Genomic DNA, 25,941 nt, shown 5'->3' on the forward strand with positions numbered 1-25,941 from the left:
TCTAGCATGCTGTGTGATACACTCATTGAGTGTATTGTGTGTCTCTGCTCCACTGAAATTAACTTTAGAGAGAGTAGGGGGTTTTGCTAGTTTTGTTCACTGCTGGATCCAAGTACCTAGTACACACCTGGCACATAGTAGGTGCTTAATAAATATGGGTTAAAGGAGAGTATGCATATGTATAGAGCTCATGTATGTATAGAGCTTGACAGTTTGCAAGACACTTAGGCTGAATATGTGATTTGTCCAGGAGACCCATCTGGCCCAGGTCCCTGTTGCTGGTTAGTGTCTGAGGCAAATTCCAGCCCCAGCTCCAGATGCCTGAATGTCTCCCCTACCCCGTGAGCTCTGAGGGCCTTTGGGATGCTCACCCTGGGTCAGCTCTACTCTCCAAGACTATTTTTGGAAGAGTTTTGCCAGGCTGAGTCTGTAATGCTGCCCAGGACTCAGCCACTCCCTTTTTCTGCCTTCCCTCTGCCAACCAACCCTCTGCAGGGACAGTCTCTGCTTCCATAAGGTCACCTCCACAAGGCCATCCTCCTTATGCTGATTGGGAAGAATGAGTTAATACCTTAGGCTAGCTTGGGTGGGAGTGGTGCTAAGAGTGAAGGGGTGGGCTGAAGGGGCAACAGGATGGTCCTATTTCATTTTTCTTAATCTGTGTCTTTTCTACTGGAGCATGAATTCTAGCTGCTGATATCTGCTAATGAATTTGAGGGAGTAGAAGTGAGTTGAGCACTGTTGTGTTTCATTTTGTAGTTCCTGATTTTCCTGCCCAAGGCCCAGCCTTTACATTTCTCCAACCTTTGCAGCAGCTCTCCTGACCACCCTGTGCCTTCTGCCTGCCATGCTATTCCTCAGCTTCTGCATGACTGGTTTGTTGTTTCCTTCCTGCATTTTCAAAGAGGCTTTTCTCTCTTGCCACATGCTGTCCTGTCTACTGCTGGGGACCCCCACCATTTGTTTCTGTCATGTGCCCCTCCCCCACCAGCTAGCATCCCTGGGACCAGGGACCTTTTCTGTCTTGCTGTTTGAAGCATCCCTGGGGCCTGAGCAATACCTGACAGACTGCTGCCCAGTTGTATTTCTTGAATGAATGAATGAACAAACATAAAGACATTCATTAATTTCCCCAGAAATGCTTGCTGAGCACTCATGATTCTGGGTGCCATGGAGGGTTATGAAGGTTGAATGCTTCATTACTACCTCTTCTTGCCCCAGGCTCATGGTCTGCAGGTAAAAGGATTCCATCTTGAGAGTGATTTGAGGCCAACATCAGGGAGACCTTTTGTGTGGATTATTTTCTTAGATAGAATGGAAATGTTCTCTGAGAGAAATCCTCTTGAGTCTCTTCTTTTCTTGAGTTATTTCTTTTCATATGTTTTACTTGGGTTGATGGATTCTTATCTGTTCATCTCCACACAGCTCAAATGGCCCCTGTGCTATAGAGCCTTTATTAATACCTGGATATTCCCTCTTACATTGTGTGCCCACCCCCCTTCTGTGTACCACACCCAGATTTTATATGTGTTGACAATCTGCTGTATTTGCCACAAATTTGTCTTCTGATAAAAATAAGAGTTAACAAGAAAGCATGCTCTTCACTACCCTACCTCCCTCACTCTCTTGAAGCTGGTTGTGTATCTTTTTGTCCACATTTTTTTATACCTAATTATGTATCTGTATGTCAGTAAATAGTATATAGTTACATGAGTTTTAAAATTTTACATACTAAATATATAGTATGTAACCTCTTGCAGCTTGCTTTTATTTTAGTATACTGAGATACAGTTACATTGATACAAGTACATCTAGTTTATTCATTTTAATTGCTTTACAGGGTTCTATTGTGTGAGTATATCATGCTCTTAAACTTTTTAGTATGGAAAATTCCCAACATTATTAAAATAGAAAGTATAGTGCACTTCCATATACTGAGCACTGGTTAGTCGTTATTATTCATAACGCATGTCCACTCCCCCACCTACCTTCCCAATCATCCCACATTATTCTGAAGCAAATCCTAGACATTTATATCAATTCATCTGTAAGTATTTGTTATTATTTTTTAAAACAATTTTCCTAATATGGCATTAAGGTTGTTTATCCATTTTGGGAGTTACAAATGATATTATGGTTAACGTCCACCAAGAGGTTGTTTTATGTATACATGTGAGAGTTTCTCTTGTGTAGATTCCTGTAAAAGGAACTACTGGATCACAGAGTGTGTACATTGTTAACTTTAAAAATTTTATTTTCAGATTATTCTCCAAAATTATTGAACAGTTTTATACTTTTGATAGCTGTGTGGGAATTCCTGCACATCTGTGTCAGCCCTAGGTACAGTAGACTTAAATGTTGATGCCCATCTGAAAGGCATGAAATGGTATTTCATTGTTCTTTAGATGTTCTTTCTAATAATTTATAATTATTAGTGAGATTGAATATCTTTTTATGCCTGTTTACCCCTTGGGTTTCCTCTTATGCAAATTGCCTGTTCACATGATTTGCCCATCTTTCTAGTGGTTTGTTTTTCTTTTTCCTATTGATTTGCAGTTTTTTTCTTAAGGTACTCTGAATTCCAGTCTTTTATCTGATACATAAGTTTCACCAGTTTTACGTGCACATATTGTGTCTGTGTGCTTAGTTCTATTTCTATTTCTGTGCACCTTTATGTGGGATATCTTTTAACTATGTGTATGGTATTTGTTTTACAGAATTTTAAAATTTGAATGTCAAATTTATTAGTCTTCTCCTTTGAGGTTTGTGATTTTTTGAGGGATGGGGGTACTTTTACTTCCCTCTCACAAAATTATGTAAAGATCTCCTTTACATTAGTCTACTAGTTTGCTCTTGTATTTCATGTGTCTGTATTCCATCTAAATTTTATTTTTGTTAAAAGATAAGGCAGGAATCCAATTTTACATTCCACATGCATGGCCAGTTGGTTTTTACCATTTTTTGAAGAGTCTGTTCTCTGTGCTGACTTGTAAGTCACCTTCTTACATGTTGGCTCTGTTCTTTTTATTGGCATAGGAGTCTTGTCCGTTCCTGACAATACTGAATTGTCTTTGAGAGATTTTGATACCTGGTAGGGTTAACCTACTCACGTACCTCTTAGTCTCTTGGCTATTCTTGGCCTTTTCCTCTTCTGTACCATTGTACGATCACTCTGTAATGTTTTATGATATCCAACCCCCTAACGCAAACCTGCCATTGGAATTTTGATTGGAATAACATTGACCTCACAGATTAATTTGCAAAATAATTGTCATTTTTGTATGATTGAGTCTTTCTAGTCGTAAATGTGGTATATCTCTCTGTTTATTTAGGTCTTATGCTTTCATGTCCCTTAATTCAGCTTAATAATTTTCTCCATAATACTTTTTTTCCTTTCACTCTCATTTTTTCAAAGTATAGCTGTAAAATTGTTGCGTATATTTTGTTAGATTGTTGCCTAGGTTTCATTTGTTTTTATTAGTGTTGTAAATAGATATTTAAATGTTAGTTTTTCTATTTGGTTTTTGTGAGCATGCAGGAGCACTAGTTTTTTGAATAATTTTTTCTTATGCACAGCTCCTTTGCTTATTGCTTCTATTAATTTTAGTGGGTGGTAGACTTGAATTTTCTATGTAGACAGTCATATCATCCACGAATAACTATTTTTTCCTTCCTTTTCAATCCTTATAGTTTTTTTCTTTTTTCCCCCTTGTCTTATACTCTTTGCCAGGGGTCACCAAAGCTTTTCCTGTAAAGGGACAAATAGTAAATCTTTGAGGCTTTGTAGGTTCTAGGGTCTCTGTTGGAACTACTCAGGGCTTCCATTGCCTCAGAAAAGCAGTCGTAGATATTATTTAAATCAGTGGCTGCAGCTTTGTTCCAACAAAACTTGTGGACGCTAAAATTTGAATTTCATATAATCTTCATGTGTTAAAAAATAGTTTTTTTCTGTTAATTTTTTTTCAATCATTTAAAAATGCAGACATCGTTCTTAACTCCCGGCCTACAAAACAGACAAGGGCAGGATTTGGCCCATGGGGTGGTTTGCCACCTGTGGTCTAGAGCTCTCTCTCTCTTTTTGGGGAGTGTTATAATAAATTCTAAACTACTATTTCTTTAGTGATTATAGGTCCAATTAGATTTTCTCTTCTCAAGTCAATTATATTGTTTTAACAGTTTCCACTTAGAGCATAAGGCTGTTCATGGTTTCTGCTTATGCTTTAAAAAGTTCTGTGGTACCTCGAGTTATGCCCCTTTTTCATTGCTAAAATAGTTTGTGCTTTCTCCCCCCACCTTTTAAAAACCAGTCTTTCATGAGGTTTGTATAAATTAGTCTTTTCAAATTACTGACTATTGGTTTATTGATCCATTTTTTCTTTGCTTTCTAGTTCATTACCGCTTTAATATTTCCTTTTACGTTCTTTGAATTTACTCTGTATTGTTTCTAACTTACTGAATTGAATGGTTATTTTAGTATTCACTCTTTTTTTTTCTTTTTTCTATTTTTATTATTTTTAAAAATTTTGGGCCAGGTGCAGTGGCTCACGCCTGTAATCCCAGCACTTTGGGAGGCTGAGGCGGGTGGATCACCTGAGATCAGGAGTTCGAGACCAGCCTGACCAACAAGGTGAAACCCCGTCTCTACTAAAAATAAAAAAATTAGCTGGGCATGGTGGCAGGTGCCTGTAGTCCTAGCTACTTGGGAGGCTGAGACAGGAGAATTGCTTGAACCCAGGAGGTGGAGGTTACAGTGAGCCGAGATTGTTCCACTGCACTCCAGCCTGGGCGACGGAGCGAGACTCCATCTCAAGAAAAAAGAAAGAAAATTTGTTTTCTTCTCAGGTCTTCCTTGATTTTATTCTCTCTCTTTTTTTTTTTTTTTTTTTTTGAGACAGGGTCTCACTCTGTTGCCCATGCTAAGAGTGCAGTGGTACGATCACAGCTCACTGCAGCCTGGACCTCCTGGGCTCGAGCAGTCTTCCTGCCTTAGCCTCCCACGTAGCTGGGACTACAGGTGTGCACCATCATGCCTGGCTAATTTTTAAATTTTTTGTAGAGACAGAGTCTCACTTTGTTGCCCAGGCTGGTTTCAGTCTCCTGGGCTCAAGCGATCCTCCCACCTCGGCCTCCCAAAGTGCTGGAATTACAGGCATGAACTGCTGCATCCAGCCAGTATTCACTTTTCTAATGCCTGTATTGAAGACTGTAAGTTTTCCCAGATACATCTTTGTCTGACTCCCATATATTCTGATATTTGGTGTTTGCTATTTTTATATAATTGATTTCTAATTTTATTGAATTGTGTTCAGCTGAGGATGTGGTATGTATTATATCTAGTTTTTGGTCTTTGTACTTGCTTTTCATCCAGTTTTGGCAAAAATCTCATGAATGCTTGAAAATAATGTGTATTTGCTAATAGTTGGGCATAACAATAGCCGTCGGCTCTCATATTCTTAGATGTAACTTGTTTACTATGTTGTTCACATCCTCTCTGATCCTCATTTATGTTTTGTCTGAGGGAGATTCTCTTAGCCCTAATGAGATTTATCATCTTATGTTATAATTATTTGTTTATAGTTTAACTTTATTCTCTCCACTGGAATCTGAACTTCTAAAAAGCAAGGACTATACCTATTTTAAGAAAGTATTCAGTAAATATTCGTTGAGGAAATCAATGACTAAATAAATGAGTGAAGTTCCCAGGAGGCAAATATCTTCTTCTGGTGGCTGGTAGAAATTGGCTAGGTGTGCTGAAAGAAAGGCAGCTTGGTAAACCCATCAGGAGGCTACTGTTGGGCCCAGAGGTGGGACCAGAATTACTCCTATTAGGATAACAAGACTTTTCCAGGAAACAGGTGTTTTTGGAATCAAGTCATGCAGGAGCCCAACAGACATAGCCACCTCAGGTTAAAAGAGTTGATAGAGTGGTGGTTTCTCTGGGGCCCTGCTGTGACAGGGAGGCAGTGGCTACAGGCCCTCACCTCAGGCCATCTCTTCTGCCCACCACAGGTGCGAGTACTCCAGAAGGAACTGGCTGCATCCACCTCTGAAGACACGCACCCTTACAAGGAGGAGCTGGAGACAGCCTTGGAGCAGTGCTTCTACTGCCTGTACAGCTTCCCCAGCAAGAAGAGTAAGGCCAGGTACCTGGAGGAACACTCGGCCCAGCAGGTGAGGGTGCTGCAATAGGCCCAACAAAGAGGGAAGCAGGAGCTGTAAGCTCTTTTGAAGGATGTCATATTTGTCAACAGTCATCTTGGCAGTCCTGCTTGGAGTTGCATCAGAAGGAGGAGAGAAGACGGTCTGATGAGTGTATCAAAGGACAAGGGTTTTTCTTGCAAAAACTTATTTTCATAAATGTTGACTGACATTCAACTAATGTTGACTAATATGTAGAACCAGATATGGTGGTGCATACCTTTAGTTCTAGCTGCTCTGGAGGGTGAGGGTAGGAGGGTTACTTGAGGCCAGAATTTTAAGGCTGGAGTGCACTGTGATTGCATCTGTGAATAGCCCTGGGTGGCAGAGCAAGGCCCCATCTCTAAAAACAAACAAACAACAAACAAAACTACCCTAAAACCAAAAAATGTAGCATGGCAGTTGTCGATAGTTTATTTCTATTTTGGATATGAATAATTCCTTAGAGGTTTTCCATTTTTGTGTTGTTTTGGTTTTTAGAGCGCTATTGAGTGTATTATCTAATGGCTCCTCAGTACTGTCAGTTATTCTCTGATCTTAGGGATTCCATCCACTAAAATGTAAGCTCCTTAGGACAGAGCCCCTGCTGTGGACCCCAAACCTAGGGCCACTCTCCCTGGAGTCAGCTCTCCTTCAATATTTTGTCTACCAAGTGGAGAGGGTCTGTGGCTGGCCCAAGGTCCCCACCCATGATGGAACCCACCCTCTGGCTCAGCCACGTGGGCTTATAGAGCGCAGCTTGTGGTTTCTAATGTCTGTCTTTCTACAGACTAGGCTTATGCTTTTCAGACACTTGGATTTGGGGATTATAGTGGGCATGCAGATTTTTTTTTTTTTTTTGAGATGGAGTCTCACTCTGTTGCCCAGGCTGGAGTGCAGTGGTGCCATCTCGGCTCACTGCAACCTCTGCCGCTCAGGTTCAAGAGATTCTCCTGCCGCAACCTCCTGAGTAGCTGGGATTACAGGCGCTTGCCACCGTGCCCAGCTAATTTTTGTAGTGCAGATTTTTTTTTTTTAAGTATAATGGGGATTTGTTTTAGGCTCTCCAATATGCCATAACCTCATTTACATTGGACAAAGTGCGTTTCTATGGAGGAATGCAATTTTCCTTCTTCATTTACCCTGAATGTGTTACTAATCTGCCTTCTGTCTTTTTTTCAAGGTGGATCTTATATGGGAGGATGCACTGTTCATGTTTGAGTATTTTAAGCCCAAGACCCTTCCTGAATTTGACAGCTATAAGACCAGCACCGTGTCTGCTGACTTGGCCAACCTACTGAAGAGAATTGCCACCATTGTGCCTCGCACAGAGAGGCCAGCCCTTAGCCTGGACAAAGTCTCTGCCTACATTGAGGGAACTTCAACTGAGGTGGGCCCACAACCTTGAGGACGTGGGGGACAGGGCTGGGTCACACTCTTCCGCTCTGCCACTGCTGTATATGCTCCTTTGCTTCTTTTTCTGCTCTGTACCAGACTGAGGGGCAGGAGAGGCTGGAGAGTCTGTCCTGTGACTAAACAGTCCTGGGTTTACTGGTCACATCTGAGTCCTTGACTCCACCTCCCCTCATACTTTTCCTCTCACCTGCCAGGTACCCTGCCTCCCAGAGGGGGCTGACCCCTCCCCTCCAGTGGTGAACGAGCTTTACTACCTCCTGGCTGATTATCATTTCAAAAACAAGGAGCAGTCCAAGGCCATCAAGTTCTACATGCATGACATCTGCATCTGCCCCAATAGGTCAGTGACCAGATCATGAGGCTAGGCTGGCTGCAGGGATGACTGGGGTGACTCCAGCTCAGCAAGCTCTTCAGTGGGCCACTTTGGGGTTTCCCTGTCCATTGCAAAGAGACCAGGGAAAACGGAATGAGAGGGTGGTTTAGCACTTTGCTGTTGTTAGGAAAGGCAGGTTTTCCATAAAAAGAAGAGCAGAGGAGAAGGCCTCTTTTCCAAAGTCCTCTGGGAGGGTTATTGGTAAAGGGTTATTAGAGAAGGTACGAAGTGTCCATCTGGACCCTGGTGTGCAGGGCAAGGAGGCGCAACCTGGCTCCATCCTGTTGGTTTTGTGCTGCCCCCTTTCACAGCCCCAGAGTGTGTACTCTTGCTGCTTCCACTGCAGGCTTCTTAACTATGGTTGCCTTCTTGGGGACAAGTAATAGAAAAACTCAAGCCAGAGTTCTCTTTTTTGCTCTGATGCAGTGCACTGTTAGCAGTAGCGATTGTCATGATAGTACATGTAGAAGAGCTCATTGCACATGAAGCTCATGCTCTCTTCCTGTGGAACCCTGTTTGGCTTTCTCTTAAAATGTAGTGATTGCCTGGAGCCTCTCAAGGGGCCTTCTACATTTGTAAAGTTTGATGCACTTGATTAAGAGGGAATATTTTTTCCTACCTAGGAGGTAAGCCTTGGGTGAAGGTCAAAAGGAGGCTACCCTCTGTGGCAGACCTGCATCTAAAGGGTTCAGAGTAGCATCTGTAGGCACACTTTCTGGAAGGACTCAGAGGCCAGGCTGTGATAGCTGCCCTTGAGCCATGGGTGAGCACAGAGCCACCCTAACTCAGGGAAAACCAGAGAATTCCACCTTGTCAGGATCCATCTGGCCAAGAAGAGAAGGGACTGGGTGTGAGTGGAAAAGCCAGTTTGCAAGACTTGTGTAGATTGTGTGAAAGGTTCTCACAGAACTTCTTTTGCTTAGCCTGTGGTTTCTTCCAGTCAGGGAGCCATGTGGCAGAGCCCTGGCCGTCCTCTTGGGGTGACTGGGAACCAGTGTGATAGAGCAGACCTATCTATGCTCAGTCTGGCTGAGTGCTTACTGCGCCACAGTTCAGGTTTCCTCGTCTGTTCCCCTACTTCCACATCTGAAAAGTGAGGGTGATAAAACCCACCTGTCTTTGCATGGCACCTCTCACCTGACAGCCCCTTATTCAACAGAATTAAGGCTCATGGCAGCTTAACTGGGCCTCCCTCCAACCTTCATACCTGCCTGTTTAGAGGGTATCAACCCATCAGCCTGGCCCATTAGGCAACCCTGCCACAGAGGCGTGGTCTCCCGTGGGATTGGCCCCAGTGCCAGGAAAGCACTTGATGGCTTGATCCTGGGCTCCAGGCCTTGGCCACTTTCGTTCTGGCCTTAACAGGCAGGTGCTAGGCGAGACTTGGTGCTTAGTCTGCTCTTCTGTGCTAGCAGTGCATTAAGGACGATTGGCATGTGTGAGGGTGGCGTCTGTCCATTTGATTGCTGCCTTTTCTGTTCTTTGTACTAGCATTCAGCAAGTCTCAGACTATCAAGTGCTCAGAGATCATCTTAGTCTTGGTGTCTCTGTGGCCATTCCTCCTCTCAGACAGGTTTCTGTGTTCTCACTATCAGTTTCTTTCGGGTGGTCTCAGAATGGTAGGGTCTCAGCCATCATGTGGTCCCTCACTTTTCATTTTACTGCTGAGAACTGAGCTGGAAGGGGCAGGATCTGCTCAGGGTCCCAGAGAGAGAATGGGGTAGAAGCTGGGTTGCTGGGGTCCAGGGGTCTCTGCTGCCCATGATTCTGGTTGGCAAATGTGCTAATGACAGGCTCTGCCAGCACAGAAGTAGGTAAGATCACACCTGGCTGAGGGTCTTCCTGGTGCTTTAGCTGGACTGCTGCTGCCTTGCCTTGTAGAGCACTCCTTTTCCTCTCCACCAGAGCTGTTCTGTGGGCAACCCCTCAAAGCAGGGGAACAGAGTCCAAGAGCTCATCCATTAGAGTACTTACTGCATGCCTATTAGGCGCTGGGTGATTAAAATACATTTTGTCTCATAATGCCCACAGCTCTTCTCTTGAGGTAGGTCTTCTTAGCCCTGTGTCACAGGTTAGGAATGAAGGCTCAGAGACATGACTGGTCTGGGTCATGGTCATGGCATTAGTGAGTGGCAGAGTTGGGCTCTGAGCCCTGGTGTGGGAAGGGAGTTTCCATGGGGTCCATCTGCCTGTCCACTAGGCTGTCATTATCTTCCATGCTTTTCATGTAGTGTTGTTTTTAGCTGGTGCTTTTGTTACCACCACAGGTTTGATTCCTGGGCAGGCATGGCTCTGGCCCGGGCCAGCCGCATTCAGGACAAGCTGAACTCCAATGAGCTGAAGAGTGATGGGCCCATTTGGAAGCATGCCACGCCCGTCTTGAACTGCTTCCGTCGGGCCCTGGAGATTGACAGCTCCAACTTGTCCCTATGGATTGAGTATGGCACCATGTCCTATGCCTTGCACTCATTCGCCTCACGTCAATTGAAGCAGTGGAGAGGCGAGCTGCCCCCTGAGCTCGTGCAGCAGGTGAGGAGGGGGTGCTGCAGATGGGCTTGCCATCCTTCTGTCCAGACAGAGTGCCCTCAGGTCAACGAAGCTCTGTCTCATTCGTACTTTATTCTTGTCCACACATCCATGCTGGGAGCTCACTGACGAATCTCCCCATGAGGCTTAAGCCATACCATGGTCAGTGACAACTTGGTCCCTGGTCTTTGGACACCCAGTCTAGTGTAGACAAATTAGGGACAGGCTGTTAGACCCAGCTGGTCAGCCATTAGTTATAGTGTAGTTGAGAGATAGGGAGGGGAGAGGTGTTGGCCACCAGAAGTAGCTATTTCTTCCCTGTTCCCTCAAAGGAGCTTGTTGGATCCTTGTAAAATTCTTGAGCTTAGGTTGGGATTTTTGAAGTCTCTCTTGGTAGGGGATTACACTAGTGCAGGATACTGAGTCTGGCCCTTAGGTCTCTGTTCAGTAGGGTACCCTTGGCTCCTTGAGATGGAAGTGAAGGAGCCATACTGACATGTTTAGGCTAGTGCAGCAGTAGCAGTAGTGCAGTAGCACTGCACCCTAGAGAGGATAGGGGAAAGAAGTGTCAGCACCGCCTCCTCTTTAACATTACCGTCTTTAAAAAAATTACTCTTGGCCGGGTGTGGTGGCTCACGCCTGTAATCCCAACACTTTCGGAGACTGAGGCGGGCGGATCACGAGGTCAGGAGTATGAGACCAGCCTGATCAACATAGTGAAACCCCATCTCTACTAAAAATACAAAAATTAGCCAGGCATGGTGGTGCATGCCTGTTATCCCAGCTCCTCGGGAGGCTGAGGCAGGAGAATTGCTTGAACCTGAGAGGCAGAGGTTGCAGGGAGCTGAGATCATGCCATTGCGCTCCAGCCTGGGCGACAGAGTGAGACTCTGTCTAAAAAAAAAAAATTACTCTTAAATCTTACAAGGGACACAGGCTTCTCTAAATCAGTTGCAGTATACAATATTAAGGGCAAAGCTCAAATCCCTCTGGCTGCCCCTACTACCTCAGAAACAGGCTTGTTTCTTTCCAGACTGTAAAAAAAAGTACTTTTTATACATAAATATGTACTCCTAGAAAAAAACACCAATCTAAATGCTATCACACTGTGTATGGTACTCAGCTTCCTTTTTCACTCAGCACCACACTGTTGAGTTCTATCCATGATAATTCCTGTGGATCTAGTACATTCCTTTTAACTGCTGTAACCCTATTTTATTGTAACTGTTCTGCACTAAAGTCCCTTGCGGGATTCTGTTTGTGTTGCAGTGGCCCCAGAGTTGGGCAGGCTGGGGACTGAAGCTGCTGCCCTAGGATGCAGAGCCTGACTCCCCAAGAGGCCTTCCTTGTAACAGCAGGAGCACCATTATCCTCTGCTGGGGCTCAGTGGGCTGAGCTGATCATGGTTCTTGGGATTTTCTCCCTAATCTCCCACCAATGATGGCAAATGAGATTTGGCAGAGTGGGAGTTTTCCAGGAAATAAATAGGGTGAGAAGTCAGAGTTCCCTTTCTGCCATTGGCACTTGTTTGTAGAGCTTTGTTTGTAGAGGTTCCCCCAGGAAGGGAGCAGGGAAGTCAGGGAGTGGGTAAGGAGACTGAGCTCAAGTTTCCACATACTTTTTCCCTTTGCTTTGTTCTTTCCTCTACTTAGGCTCATAACCTTTGGGACTGAACTCAGTGTTGATCTTATGGAAGCCATTGGCCCAGGAAGCTCAGGTCCTGAAACTGGGTTCCCAAGCCATCTTGTTGGAGTGTTAGGGTGGCAGGAGAGAGATGGAAATCCACCAGGAATGCAGATGTCCCGACAGGGAGGGAGGGAAGGTAGGGGGAGGTGTTTCATAGTTGCCGAGGGTGAAAACTACCTTGCAGAGCTGCCTTGTGCCTCCTGGGTTTTTTCCACCTCTGGAGAGACAGCTTCCAACCCTGAAATGTGTCACGAGGACACAGTCCCCTGATTGCTACTTTTCTGTCTGGATTTATTGTGTCTGGAGGATGGGCTGCAGGACACATGTTGGCAGCTGTTCGAGCTGCTGTGTGCTTCAGCTTTTGCCCAGAAACTCCTCAGAGGTGGTGGTGTAGGAGAACAAATGCTTTCCCCATGATGTCAGTTCTCAGGCAAGGGGAAAGGCTTTGGAGCCAGAGCGTTCTAGCTGTATGACCTGGAAGCAGTAACCTGACATTCCTGTTGTGGTTCCTTCTCCAAGGCAGTATTGTGAGAGTTCATTGGGAACACCTGCCATCAGCCATTTCCTGAGCCCCTCTCATGGGCACCCCATATGCAAGGTGAATGAGGTGCCTATTCTGCTCTGAGGATGGCAAGGTAGTGAGATGGTGTCTAGTAGAGCTTCTGAAACACAGCAGGCCCTCAGTGACTGTCCCTCCTTTTCCTGTCTGAGGTATTGTGACCTCCACACCACAAGGACAGGGACATTGGCATTGTGCCCTGTATGGGGAAGGGGTGGGGGCTTAGCCTCTTCCCAAGGGTCTGCATGGTACCAGATGCCAGCCCAGATGGGCCACTTCACAGCTACCCTTTCTTTCTTGGCAGGTGGCTGTTACAGGTGCCAGTGGCAGAACAGGGTGGGCAGGGGGGCTAGTGACTTGGTCCAGGTCACACAGCTACAAAGCAATTCAAGTAGAAGGACATCCTTTTAGCCATTGCCTTTTACTTCAGCACATTTGCCACAGAATCCCATCTTGAAGGGGATGTGATGGAGTCACTTGGTTGGTCCCGTGTTTGACCCTGCACTGTGATGCTTTCCACTGTATTTCACCCATTGATGATCTCCCACTTCCTGTGTGGTCATTTTTTTTTTTTTTTTTTTTTCCTGAGAAGTGTCTAACAGAGCACTGGGTAGCACATTGCTCCCTTATTTCAGTCCTGGGGCCATTGCTACAGGGTTTTCACATAAACAAGCACCCACTGGAGAGACATCCAAGGGCCGGCTCAACCTGGCTGGATGAGAACATGAGGCACTTCCTGCAGGCCACAGCAGCTGCCCTTGCCAGAGACTAGTGCCTGCAGACTCATCCCCTCTCACTGGCCCCTGAGGTCAGGCAAGAAGAGACTTTGGCTTCCCTGCTATCAATCCAGGACCACAGAGAGGAGGGATCAGAGACCTGGGCTGCTCAGAGCAGCTCTGTGGGCTTGCACATGCAGGCTTCTCTCTAGCTTCCAGCCCAGAGTTCTGGAATCAGGGGTCATGAATTTGGCTGGCAGCTGACCAGTATTGGAAAGTAGTGCCTCTTAAAAGGTGACCCTCTTTTCCTTCCTTCCTAGCTAGCTGTTTCCTTCCTTCAGGCTGTGAGAGGGTGGCTGGAGGTGCTTGCTGCAAATGCAGACTCCCAGTCAGTGGCTCTTAAGTGGGGCTCAGGAATTTGCCCTTCTACAAGTACTCCACATCTGTCTTAAAGAGCACAGAGGAGATGGTGGGAAGTCCTCTTGTACCCCAGGGGTACACACCCTCTCCTGTGCAGTGGAACTGGGTGCTAAATACATGCCCTCTTCAGTGCCGTAGGGCTGGGTGCTGAGTGTTAGTAAATGTCCTCTCCAGTGCTGTGGAGCAGGGTGCTAGGTGAATCTGCATTAGATGCTGCAGGGGGAAAGCAGAAAAAAGTACCCTGGTTGACATGGGGTGACCTGAGTTTAAGTCCTGCTCTATGCCTTGCTTGGTGGGCGCTTTTGAGAAACCCCTAGGCCTTTCTACACTTCGGTGTCACCAGCTGTGAAATGGTGAGGGCATTTCTGTGTCTTGGTTGTTAAGAGGAGTATAAACTTGCAAATAGGTCGGCAGAGCTTTGTACAGGAAAAAGTCTGATCCCTGGGCAGGTTCAGGCGTAAGGCCAGCCCAGTCTCATGATCTTCTTACAGATGGAGGGCCGGCGCGACAGCATGCTAGAGACAGCCAAGCACTGTTTCACATCAGCAGCCCGCTGCGAGGGTGATGGTGACGAGGAGGAGTGGCTCATCCACTACATGCTGGGCAAGGTGGCTGAGAAGCAGCAGCAGCCACCCACCGTTTACTTGCTGCACTACAGGCAGGCTGGCCACTACCTGCACGAGGAGGCTGCCCGCTACCCCAAGAAGATCCACTACCACAACCCACCTGAGCTGGCCATGGAGGCCCTGGAGGTGACACCATGCTGGCCCAGGGCGGGGAAGCAGGGCAGGGGCAGGCTGGTTTCTTTATCTCCCTGGGCATGTGGCTCAAGGTTCCAGTGACCGTCCTTCAACCTGCCGCAAACTTATCTGTGTTGAGCAGCTTCATGTGCAATTGAATTAAAACATCATTTCCTCTCTTTTCCCAAGGGGTGTTTATCATCCTTTCTGGGAGAGTGACCATTTTGTTCTTATCTCTCAGAAGAAAATTGTCTTTCCTCACTAACACAGGTTCTAAGAACCTGACCTTGGTGATGACAGTCAGTGCTACATAGCATCTCCCAGGCCCAGGACATTCACACCCTGTAGCCTGGCAGGAGGGAGGGCAGGCACCATTGCCTCCAGGGTGCAAATGAGACATCCAAAGCCCAGCCTGTGCCCAGGCTACCCAGGTTGGCAGGGGCTGAGCTAGGGTGAGCAGCCTGCTCTCTTGACCCCCAGTTTGGAGTCTTCTGATTGTTGTTCAAGAAAAGAGCAGTTCTTTACTCCCTGGATTTTCTCTCATGGTTTCCAGAGTGTTTCTGATGAATGCTGTCACTGTTGCTTATAGCAGTCTTGTGAGGCAGGCTGGGCAGCCACGATTGTCAATTTTGTAGGCAGGAAAACCAAGGACATTGGTAGAGATCCAGATGTCCACCATTTGGTTCAGCCCAGGACTTGAAGCTTCTGAAGGCCCTGTGCACGTTGGCTTTGCCCTTTCTGAGGCTATGTGCCCAGTCTCTACCAGTCTCACGTGCCCAGCAAGCCTCTTGGAGTGTGGACAGAATCTGCTGCTTGCTTTTTTCTGCCTTTGTGATTTTTTTTCCTGATTATAAAAGTGTGTGTGTGTGTGTGTGTGTGTGTGTGTGTGTGTGTTTTAAAGAGATTCAAACAACTCAGAAGTGTACAGTGTGAATGTGAAGGCCCCTAGTGATTCCAGTATGCCCCTCCATAATCCCTAAGAGTTTGCTATGTCCCTGTATGTCCGAATTTTTTCCTATTAACATATAAACATATAGTAACATTTTCTTATGATTTTGCAGCTTGTCTTTTCGCTGGACAAAATTTAATGGAAGGTGTGGTGAGCTTCCCTGCCTGCCCTAGTGCCCTGTAGTTTAGCAGGGCGTTTGTTTATCTGCACGGACCCTTGATAGGTTTGGTTTCCTCTCCACTTCTTGCTATGACAAGGCACAGGCAGTGCATGTCTTTGTACTTGAAGCAGGGAGCACATCATGAGTATTTCCAAGGACTAGAGTCCAAAGGTGGAATTGCCAGGTTGTTTAGCATTCTGATCAACAATGGCTACTTGCCCCAAGGTCGTACTGACTGATGAGAGTGTTTGCTTTCCCTCAGCCATATTGATGAGGTTCTCTTTTTAATATTTGCTAATTTTGTGAGCAAACAAAAATGTCTCATTTTGGCTAGGTATGGTGGCTCACGCCTGTAATCCCAGCACTTTGGGAGGCCGAGGTGGGTGGATCACCTGAGGTCAGGAGTTCGAGATCAGCCTGACCAATATGGTGAAACCTTATCTCTACTAAAAATTAGCCAGGTGTGGTGGTGGAGGCCAGTAGTCCCAACTACTTGGGAGGCTGAGATGGGAGGATCACTTGAGCCTGGGAGGTGGAGGTTGCAGTGAACTGAGATTGTGCCACTGCACTCCAGCCTGGGTGACAGAGTGAGACCCTGTCTCAAAAAAGAAAGGAAAAAAAAAACTCATTTAAAAAAAAATGTTTGGGCCAGGCATGGTGGCTCACACCTATAATCCCACTGCTTTGGGAGGATTGCTTGAGTCCAGGAGTTTGAGATATAGAGCTGGGGATCTCAGAGACTAGCGGGCAACATGATGAGACCCCCCCATCTCTACAAAAAATAAAAGATTAACAAGGCCTGGTGGCACGCACCTGTAGTCTCAGAAACTTGGGAGGCCGAGGTGGGAGGATTGCTTGAGCCCAGGAGGTCGAGGCTGTAGTGAGCTGTGATCACACCACTGCACTCACAGCCTGGGAGACAGAGTGAGACCTTGTCTAAAAAAAAAAAAATTAAATTTGCCTGTTTTGGGGCCATATTCACTGGGCTCATGGAGAAGTGTGGAAACACAGCTTCCTGTTGAACGCTATCTCAGGAGCAGCAGCTTGGCTGCGCTCATTCGCGGCGTTGGATCTCCGTCCTTCCCTGTCATAGTGCTCATACTGTCCACCTGGGGGCAGGTGCCTTGGAAGAACTCCACTTTGGGGGTGAGAAGGGTAAGGCCCAGAGGAGTGATGTGATGACTTGCCTTAAGTCACCTGCAGGAACAGAGAGGAGCTGGGCCAGATGCCCACTGAGCCCAGCATTCTCATATGGCACCTCTGGGAAGCCACTGAACCTACGTGTGGCCCTCAGGAAGATGATGTCAACTCTGTTTTTCCTCCATGTTTTTTTCTTCAAGATTTGGCCTCTACTACTGCCTGATAGAGCAGATGAGCAGGCAGGATGGTAGCCCCAGGGGTACCAGCAGCTTCCATATGAGGAACCAAGGCCTTAGATGTGTGGCCTACCCTCTCCCAGCACACAGTGCTGGCTCCAAGGAGAGCAAGCACACATAGTTAATTTGGGGGGCAACCCATTCCATGCAACCATTGTAGCTATGTAACTTTGAGTCAGCTGGTAAATATGTATATCTTGTGTTAAAAATGACATTTCTGGCCGGGCGCGGTGGCTCACGCCTGTAATTCCAGCACTTTGGGAGGCCGAGGCGGGTGGATCATGAGGTCAGGAGATCGAGACCATCCTGGCTAACAAGGTGAAACCCCGTCTCTACTAAAAATACAAAAAATTAGCCGGGCGCGGTGGCGGGCGCCTGTAGTCCCAGCTACTCGGGAGGCTGAGGCAGGAGAATGGCGTGAACCCGGGAAGCGGAGCTTGCAGTGAGCCGAGATTGCGCCACTGCAGTCCGCAGTCCGGCCTGGGCGACAGAGCGAGACTCCGTCTCAAAAAAAAAAAAAAAAAAAAAAGAAACAAAAATGACATTTCTCTGAAGATTTTTAACTCTGTCCTGACAAAAATTCTCCTCTGCTATTGTGCCTTCATTCAAGAATCTTTACTCGCCACTTGGATGAACTTTACCAGTTGAATGCTTTGCCCTCCCCCAAGTTTGGCCACCTGATTGTGCATGGGTGCCTCGAGTGGTTTCCTACATCTAAAAATGGAGTTGCTGGGCCAATTTCTCTGGGCTCCATAGGTGGGCTAGAGGTGGAGGGGCTCTGGATGTGAGACCCCTCTGTCTGGGATGCCTCCTTGAGAGTGCTGCCAGCAGGTTCTCACCTGGGTGAGGGGGGCCACTTAGCCAGGGCCTGCAATGGCAGTTCTCAGCCCTCATACCACCCACTGTGCCCTCCAAGTGGGAGCCTGCCTCACACCCACTCCTGCATGAGAAGATCAGGGCAGACCTGGTTTTAACCTGGCCCTGGGCATTCCCGGCTGTGGGGCCTTGGGCAGCTCTTCACCCATTTTAAATTGAGGAATGTGGTAAGGACTTGAGGAAATGGAGGAAAGCACAGGGCCCAATGGATGCAATGAGCTGCCTGCCCACCCACCCCCCCACCACACCCACGGGGAAGACGTTTTCGAGGCCTGTGGGTGCCTGGCTTTGCCTGGGGGCTGGGCTATAAACAGAAATCCAACCTAGTCCTTGTTTCAGGGAGTCCAGAGTTCAGTGGGGAGACAGATGTAGAAACTCACTTTCTATGGGTGCCCACTGAAGGGCACAAAGAGAACAGCAGCACTGTGGCGGGAGGCAGTGCCCAGTGAACGGAGCTGAAGGGTTATCATAATGAGTGGTTATTACTCTCATCTCACTACCATGTGCCTGAGTTACTGCGTGAACGTTTAAGCTGGAATGCTGACAGTATACATTTTAATTTTCACAGCTTGTTTTAAATTAGTTGTAGGATGGTTGGTTTAAAAGCTAACAAAAACAAGCAGTGTGTGGCAGCCTGTTGCCCTGGTCATGGGCCCATTTCCAGTGTGGCTGACTGGCCTGTGGAACAAATCTTAGCAACTGGGAAGGCTGCTCACACTAGAGGTGTCGTTCTCCTAGGTGTACTTTCGGCTCCATGCTTCCATCCTGAAGCTCCTGGGGAAGCCCGATTCTGGGGTTGGTGCAGAGGTCCTGGTCAACTTTATGAAGGAGGCTGCAGAAGGACCCTTTGCCAGGGGCGAGGAGAAGAACACACCCAAAGCTTCAGAAAAGTGAGTAGCACCCTTCAGGCGACCCCTAGCAGCTTACCCCATCTGCATCCCAGATGGCTCGTTTACTGCAATGTGTTGTTCAGAGGGTTGCTACACAGTAAACAGTAAACTAGAACTCATGGAGTCCCTAGGACCCATCTGGAAACTCCCATTTGCTGGGCCAAGGTATTTCTGTTGAGTCTGAGAAGGAGAGGGTGAGTGTGAGTCCCCTTACCCTGTGGTCATGTGTGGTGCTACCCCACCCTAAGGGGAAGTCCTGGGGAGAAGCTGATGCCCTCCTGCCCTCTCCACTGGGGCACAGCTCTGTTCTGTGCAGAACACTGTAGAAAGTCAGTTTTTGCTTTGCAGACTCTCACCCCTGGGTCCTTTGCCAAGGCCTTGTCTGCTGCCCATTCTCCTGAGAAGCAGTGGGAAGTGTGGGAAGTGTGGGCTTCTCATGTGGTGCCAGAGAGCTCGGAGAGACTGGGGCTCAGGTGTGGTCCTCTCAGTGGGCCTGGACTGACCCCAGTCTCCCTGTGGTTGTAAGTCATCTCCACAGCCCAGACTTCTTTCACTCCAGGCCCAGGTCCTGGTGCCGCCCCATCCTCAGGGGCAAGTCCTAGGGAGAAAGATGGGTTTGGGGTGACATGGGGAATGTTGCAGCTGCCCATTAACCTGATGGACTCATGCTGATTCTTGTGCTTCTGAGACATGCTCAGGGTCACCACCTGCCAGCTTGCCCACATGGGAGCCAGGGGAGGGCTCAGCTCACCCCATCTCTGAGTCCGCTGCCTAGCTGGGCACTGTGCGAAATTCAGCTGACCCCTGCCTGACTGGGCACTGTGCGGGGTTCAGCTGAGTGCCAGAGAGGCCTGCACCCAGGCCCTGTGCTTGAGGGCTGTCTGCTTCTGACCACAGATAGCCTGTGTGATGTTCACCACAGGTGAGCCAGCTCCACAGTCGGTGTGCCCCTCAGGTTATGGGGAGGTTCACGTCCATGCATGGCAGGCCACTCAGGTGGGCAGCCGCTGTGCTCAGAATTTATAGCTACCCATTTTTTTAGTCACAAAGGGCCCCCAACATACAATGATACTTTCTTTCATTGGTTATAATTCTGTTAAATTTTTTTTAATTATACAAATAATACATGAATACTTTCTTGTTATAGAACATTCAGGTAGTATATAAACATGTAGACTAAAATGTGACAGATCTCCTTCCAAGAGTTAGCTACTATTCACAGTTTAATTTCCTAAATCATTTTCTGTATATTTATAACACTTAAATGCACACATACAATTGTAAGGTTTCATTTATTTTATAAAAATGAACTACAGAAGGTATTGTTTTAGAGTTTGCTTTTTCCCCTGACAGTGGGTCTGGGCAACAGTCCATGGAGATAGTACCCCAGTCACTTCATTCTTTCTAGTGGCTACTTACTATACCATAGTATGGATGTACCATGTTTTATGTAACCACTCCAATGGACATTTAGAGTGTTTCTAATGTTTCTGCTCAACTATGTTGCAGCACATATCCTTGTACATGTGTGAGCATGCAGTAAATGCAGATGTGTTTCTGTCTGCCCATTTGTCAGGTCTTAAGTTTGTCAGGCTGTCACACAGAAGGCATAGACTTTGCATGGAGAGATGCAAGGGTGCTTCTGAAGAAAGACTCTTTGGCTCCTCTATAGAGCCTCTTGGGGCCTGAAATTCAGAGATGCAGGTCGCGCCCTGCCAGAAAGATTAGGCAGTGTCCAGTTAGGAGCCAGAGCCTGTGTGGGTGCTGTAGGGGCAACTATGGGCTCTGTGACACCAGGCAGATGGGGTGGGGGCCACCAGAGGTGCATGGGAGCAGTGGGCCCTGGGAAGGGCATTCACCCTTACCAGTACACATCTGTTTCAATGTGAGGTGGAGACTCTGACCTGTGCCCCAAACCTCTGTTCCCACAGGGAGAAGGCCTGCCTGGTGGACGAGGACTCCCACTCTTCAGCTGGGACACTGCCGGGCCCCGGAGCCTCCCTCCCCTCCTCCTCTGGCCCAGGTCTGACATCCCCACCTTACACAGCCACTCCGATTGACCACGATTACGTCAAATGTAAAAAACCCCACCAGCAGGCAACGCCGGACGGTACAGTCCCTGTTCTCCCTACTGCCAGCCCAGGGCGGCACATCAATCACGGGGGGGTGCTCGGACGACTCATTTTGTCGCTTCGTTTTGGTGAGGGGGGGTGCTGGGTCTGGGGTGACACGGGCAATGTTGCGGCTGCTCATTAACCTCATGGATTCACAGTGATTCTTGTGCTTCCGAGACATGCTCAGGGTCGCCACCTGCCAGCTTGCCCACCTGGGAGCCAGGGGAGGGGGCAGGCCAGGCTATGGCATCTCACATCTTTGAGCCTTCTTTTTCTCGCCTGCAAAATGGGGACATGACATCTACTTTGAAAGGAAGTTAGAAGAGTGTGGCCTCCTGGAGGGGCTCCTGGTGCAGTCAGCTTAGTGATGCCTGCATTGTTCAGCAGCACATTGTTACTGCTCTGTCCTTCTGAAGGTTGAGGGAAGGCCGTGACTAGTTCTAAGTCTGTCACCCCTGAGAATCCAGATAAGTTGTTAATGGGGGTCACCTGGGACCATATGTGTGGCCATGCCATGTGGGATGGGGCAGGTGGCGACTGTTCAACCACATTCCTTACTAACATTAGGAGGCTTGCATGCTGGCCTGTAGCTCGATTTCTTCATGTTCTCTCATTTTTATAGTGATAAGCTAGTGACAAAGTACTTGCTGGGATAAGCCAAATTGGTGATTTAAGAGGACCACTAAAGTGGAGTCCTGGGAGGTAGTGACAATGCTGAAAGACACCTGGGCCCTCACTCCTATGTCACTCATCTCATCTGGGCTTGGGGAAACAGGCCTTGCTCTGCATTCCCCAAGGCATGGGGATGCTAGTAGGTGGGTAGAATTGGTCCCAGGGCTCTGCTTCCTGCCAGATAGTCTTTATAGAGTGGCTCCTTGGAGTAAGAATGGGCACTCTAGGGCACCATGGTAGCCTTGAAGTTCAGTCCCAGTACAGGTCTGGGGGGGGCCACCACCTTCGCTCTAGTGCCCTGCTGAGGCCCTTGCCCAGTGCTCGGGTTCCTGGATATAGCATGGGCATCTGCCTCCAACTTTCTGAACTAAGTGGGTAGGGCTTGAGAGCAGGTTTAAAGAAGTGCTGGAGAAGGATGACAAGGGGGCCAATGCTCCATTTCTCTGGGGGCAGGATTTGCTATTCTCAAGAAAGGAAAGGAGACCTGCAGTGTCCCCTCCTGGGTTTGGTTTGGATCTACAGCATGCGTGTTGAGAGAGGCTGAGGATCTGAGTGTGTGCTGTGTCTCTTACCTCCTGGAAGGTTCATGTCATTACTCCCAGTCTCAGCACTGACACCTCGCTGCCCACCCCAGAGTGTTAAGCAGAGATGGGAAGAACTGACCCACCTGCTCCTCCAATCTTCAGTTCTGCAGACTTTCCCTGTTAAGATCCTCTCTCCCCTTCTTAGTTAAGTTAATCACCCTGTTCCCAAACTTTTACTCTTGAGAATATTGAGAAAACATACTAGCAGCAAACCCCTTCTCAGGGAATTAGTTTTTGCCAGCTGCTTCCTGGGAGGAAGCACTATGCCAAAGTTTTCAGGAGAGGAATGCCTTTCCTGGTTGTCCACATGCCATGTGGCCGTGCTCACATGCACCTGGGCTAGGGAACCCAAGCACTGTCCTCTGCAGCTCTGCAGGCTCCCACTGAGGTCACGCCACATGCGCCACTGTGCTTGGATGTCAGCCCATTAGGGTTGAGTATGCCTCTAGAAGCAGGAAAGGAGGGAGGCAGGAGCGCCTCAGAAAGGGGGCCATGATGCCAGCTGTCCCATGTTGGCACATATGTGTGCATGAAGCTGTTGGTGAGCCACTGCAGATCACTCAGGCATGACAACTGGGCATGACAGGTCCTGGGTGCCAACATGCTAGTTATTTGTTCTGGAAGTTTGCAGAGGGAGCCATACAAATAAGTTCAAATATGGTTTCAGTGGTTGCACAGTTTTGAACATTTGTTTAAAAAAAATGTCTTCAAAGTGATTCCTGTCAAAGACACAAAGCCATCAGGATCCCATGGCCCATCTTTGCCCAGTCCCAGCCCTGCACTGGCCACCTGTGTGCTCTGCCCAGGCCTGGCTGCATAATGCTTTCAGAACTCAGCTGCCTCACCTCTGAGAGAAAGCAGTGTCTGCAACATGAAAATGTTTGGGGTCCTAAAATAGCTGTGATCTTAGAATGTTAAAGTGGCCCTTTCAGCAGCTATACTAGTTCCTAGGGGAAGGCCCAGGTTCCAGGGAGAAGCAGCAGATTGCTGGTGTCAGGGGATGTGCTGGTGGCCTCAAGGGGCCACACTGCCCACCTCTGTTCCTGCTTCTCCTTCCTGGGAGGAGAACATGTAGTTCCTAGTTTCCACTCAGCTTCTTGGCCTGAGACCAGCCTTGGGTCTACTGTGAGAGGAGAGGGGCGTCAGCACTGATTGCAGGCCACCACTGAGCCCTTATACTACCAGGAGGGTGATGGGTGCTTCTAGCCCTGGTACAGCTGAGGAGAAGCAGTCACGGGGAGGTCAGATGGGGAGGTCAGACAGGGAGGCAAGTGCACAGCAGGCCCTGGTCAAAGGATCTGATTTCCAGTCCCAGCTCCATTGCATATGTGCTCTGCAACCTTGGACAAAGGACTTCACTTCTCAATTTCCTCACCTGTTGAATGGGGTAATGTCTTCGTTATGGGTATTAAACAAAAGTGCTTGTACATTGCAGCCACCTCCTGGATGGAGTTCTCCAAGTCATTGGTGGAACTAGGGTAAGACCTAGGTAGCACTGCATAGAGGGAAGAGCCTGGGCTCTGGGGCCAGTCCCCCTCAGTTTGCACCCCACCTCTCTCCAGCTAGTGGCATGGCCTCACAAGAGGTGGAGGTAGTGTCCTCTGAAGCAGCAGCTCCTGAGTGGGCTTGGGCATGGGGCTTTCTGGATCCTGGTTTCCTACCCCCACAGAACAATTAACTTTCCAGCAGTGGGAGAGGGAGCCAGGCGTCAGGACTTTCCTTGGGCATGGTTAGGAGACCTTGCATTGGAGCTGCCTTCCCACATTGGTATGCCTTTGCTTCAAAACCAGAAATCAGCTAGGATCAATTCTGATTTGGTTTAAGATTTAGAAAAGATTTAGAAAAATAGCTCCAGGTACATGTGGGTTGTTTGACATTTGATAATAGCTGCTTCATAGGACCCAAATTTGTTCTCTGAACCACCCTCACCTGCAACCTTGTGTCACCTGCATTAGGGTGGGGAGCATCCTGCAGCCTGTGCATAACTCTGGTTAAAAGCCTTTGGAATCAGCCCCTCAGGTCACTCTGACTCTACCGCAGCCTGGTGTCAAAGCCAGCCCTTCACGGAACAGCCAGGAGGGCATCACAGCTGACCTCTGGCCAAGCTGAGAAAGAGAGCAAGAGAGAGAACAACAGAGAGAGAAGCTTTGTCCTCTGCTGTGCTGCTGGCAGCTCTGGCTGGTTGTGCTCCCCATCTGCCTAACTTCTGCCTTCCGTCAATCTCTTGGAATTTGCCCACAGGGCTGAAATCCCTAATGTTGAAGCTTCCTGACCAGGAAAACGAGGTGACCCGAGGAGCACATTGTGACCTTCAGGGGGTTCCCAGTGATTACTCTTTATACATATTCAAGCAACATAAGGAGATCTTTGAACAAGACCTCTACCCCTACCCTGTGTACAGTATGCGTGTATGTATGTGTGTGTGTGTGTGTGCCCGTGTGTAATTACGCCCTACCACTCAATGCTGTGTGCTTGCTCTGTGCTGGGCTCTGGGCAGGTGCCTGCAGGGTAGTAGCATGTCTCCATCTTCATAACTGCCCTGCAGGCTCGGTCATGCCCTTGTTTCCCCAAGAGGAACCTGAGCTGAGGGCAGGTAGGCACTCATCCAAAACTGCCTGCTGTAGTCAGGGTATAGCCAAGAGATACTGGGTCTGAATCTCCCTCCACCCCTAGCCAGAGGTGAGACTGACACTAGGAAGGCCCTGTGGTTGGCCAGCCTGGCAGAGACTGAATCTGTGTGTGTTTCCCTTGTCCTTCAGCAGAGGGCCCAGAGAGCTTAGCCATTACAGAATGGCTTGGTTCGTCACTTGGCCTGGCTCAGCCCTGCTTTGGGATGTGTTGATAGTGCCTTTCTTGGACTAAAATCCTTGCTCTCTGCCTGTCGTGCTCCATGTCACTTCAGAATGCCAGAGCCAGAAAAGGCCTCAGAGCTCGGAGGCCTTGTGCTGTGGTAAGTCTGGGGCTGAGCCTCTCTATGGTCTTTGGCCAACCTGTAGCCATGCCCATCCAGGTGGTTCCATCAGTGCTGTGCCAGGTGCATAGAACAGCACTGGTCCCTGCTGTAGAGGAGGTTGGTGCAAATCAGTCAGTTACATAGCTGAGGGTTGGGGGTCAACTGATGCCAGCACCAGAGAGGTGGGGTTTGTTCATCCCAGAGAAACCTGGGCCTGTTGGTGGGGTAAGAGGCCTTTCCGAGGAGGCAAAGTTTAGCCAAGATCCGAGGGGTGTGTCGGTGTTTCTCTTGAGGGGTTGGGGAGAGGGAGCAGCCAGGGTCAGAAGAGTGGGAGCCTTGGAGGCTGGTATCCACCAAGGGTGGTGATGCCTACCTAGTCCCACTGACAGCATGCACAGAGCCGCTGAGGAGTCTCAGGCTACCTTGAGCCCCAGGTTGTAGGGTGTGGGCCTCACTGGAGAGCCCAGGGTGCCCTGTGCCAAACCCCCATTGTGGCCATCCATCCTCAACCTCCATGCTGTCACCGTCTGTGTCGTGTGCCGTCTGTGCTCATCTTCGCCTGTTCGCCCCATGCTGCCTCCACCAATATTGCCCGTGCTGCCCCTAACCCTGACCACACTCTGTTCTCCAGGCTTTGTCTTTCTGCTTGCACCTGTCACGGCTCGCTTCAGGGAACAGCGCAGACCCGCATGCTCAGCTCTCAGTCCGGCTCCCTGCTACCCCTGTGACCAGGAGCACCTTCATGTCTGCTCGC

The 25,941-nt window shown here is 48.3% G+C and overlaps 1 protein-coding gene across 50 annotated transcripts in view, besides 2 other annotated features; it reads left to right on the forward strand.

Annotated features, from left to right (window-relative positions):
* CABIN1 (calcineurin binding protein 1) overlaps positions 1 to 25,941 on the forward strand; it is a 167,325-nt gene that overhangs the window by 65,915 nt on the left and 75,469 nt on the right. For 28 of the 50 annotated variants that reach the window (XM_047441218.1, XM_047441219.1, XM_047441226.1 and 25 more), the window contains 7 exons: positions 6,010 to 6,171; positions 7,361 to 7,567; positions 7,788 to 7,933; positions 10,234 to 10,495; positions 14,365 to 14,625; positions 18,713 to 18,864; positions 20,796 to 20,974. In XM_047441218.1, coding sequence (XP_047297174.1) covers positions 6,010 to 6,171; positions 7,361 to 7,567; positions 7,788 to 7,933; positions 10,234 to 10,495; positions 14,365 to 14,625; positions 18,713 to 18,864; positions 20,796 to 20,974 — 1,369 coding nt within the window. Of the gene's footprint in view, positions 1 to 6,009; positions 6,172 to 7,360; positions 7,568 to 7,787; positions 7,934 to 10,233; positions 10,496 to 11,761; positions 11,995 to 14,364; positions 14,626 to 18,712; positions 18,865 to 20,795; positions 21,065 to 25,941 lie in introns of those variants that run through there. The other 22 variants (XM_024452184.2, XM_047441227.1, XM_047441220.1 and 19 more) reach the window with 3 other exon arrangements.
* Positions 14,057 to 14,558: an enhancer, noted in NCBI's record as "H3K4me1 hESC enhancer chr22:24487229-24487730 (GRCh37/hg19 assembly coordinates)". NCBI's record gives its function as "activates a minimal SCP1, AML or CMV promoter by ChIP-STARR-seq in naive H9 embryonic stem cells {active_cell/tissue: H9 hESC(naive)}" and the evidence as "EXISTENCE:reporter gene assay evidence [ECO:0000049][PMID:30033119]".
* Positions 14,559 to 15,058: an enhancer, noted in NCBI's record as "H3K4me1 hESC enhancer chr22:24487731-24488230 (GRCh37/hg19 assembly coordinates)". NCBI's record gives its function as "activates a minimal SCP1, AML or CMV promoter by ChIP-STARR-seq in naive H9 embryonic stem cells {active_cell/tissue: H9 hESC(naive)}" and the evidence as "EXISTENCE:reporter gene assay evidence [ECO:0000049][PMID:30033119]".

This window comes from Homo sapiens, chromosome 22 (assembly GCF_000001405.40).
Source record: "Homo sapiens chromosome 22, GRCh38.p14 Primary Assembly".
NCBI lineage: Eukaryota > Metazoa > Chordata > Mammalia > Primates > Hominidae > Homo > Homo sapiens.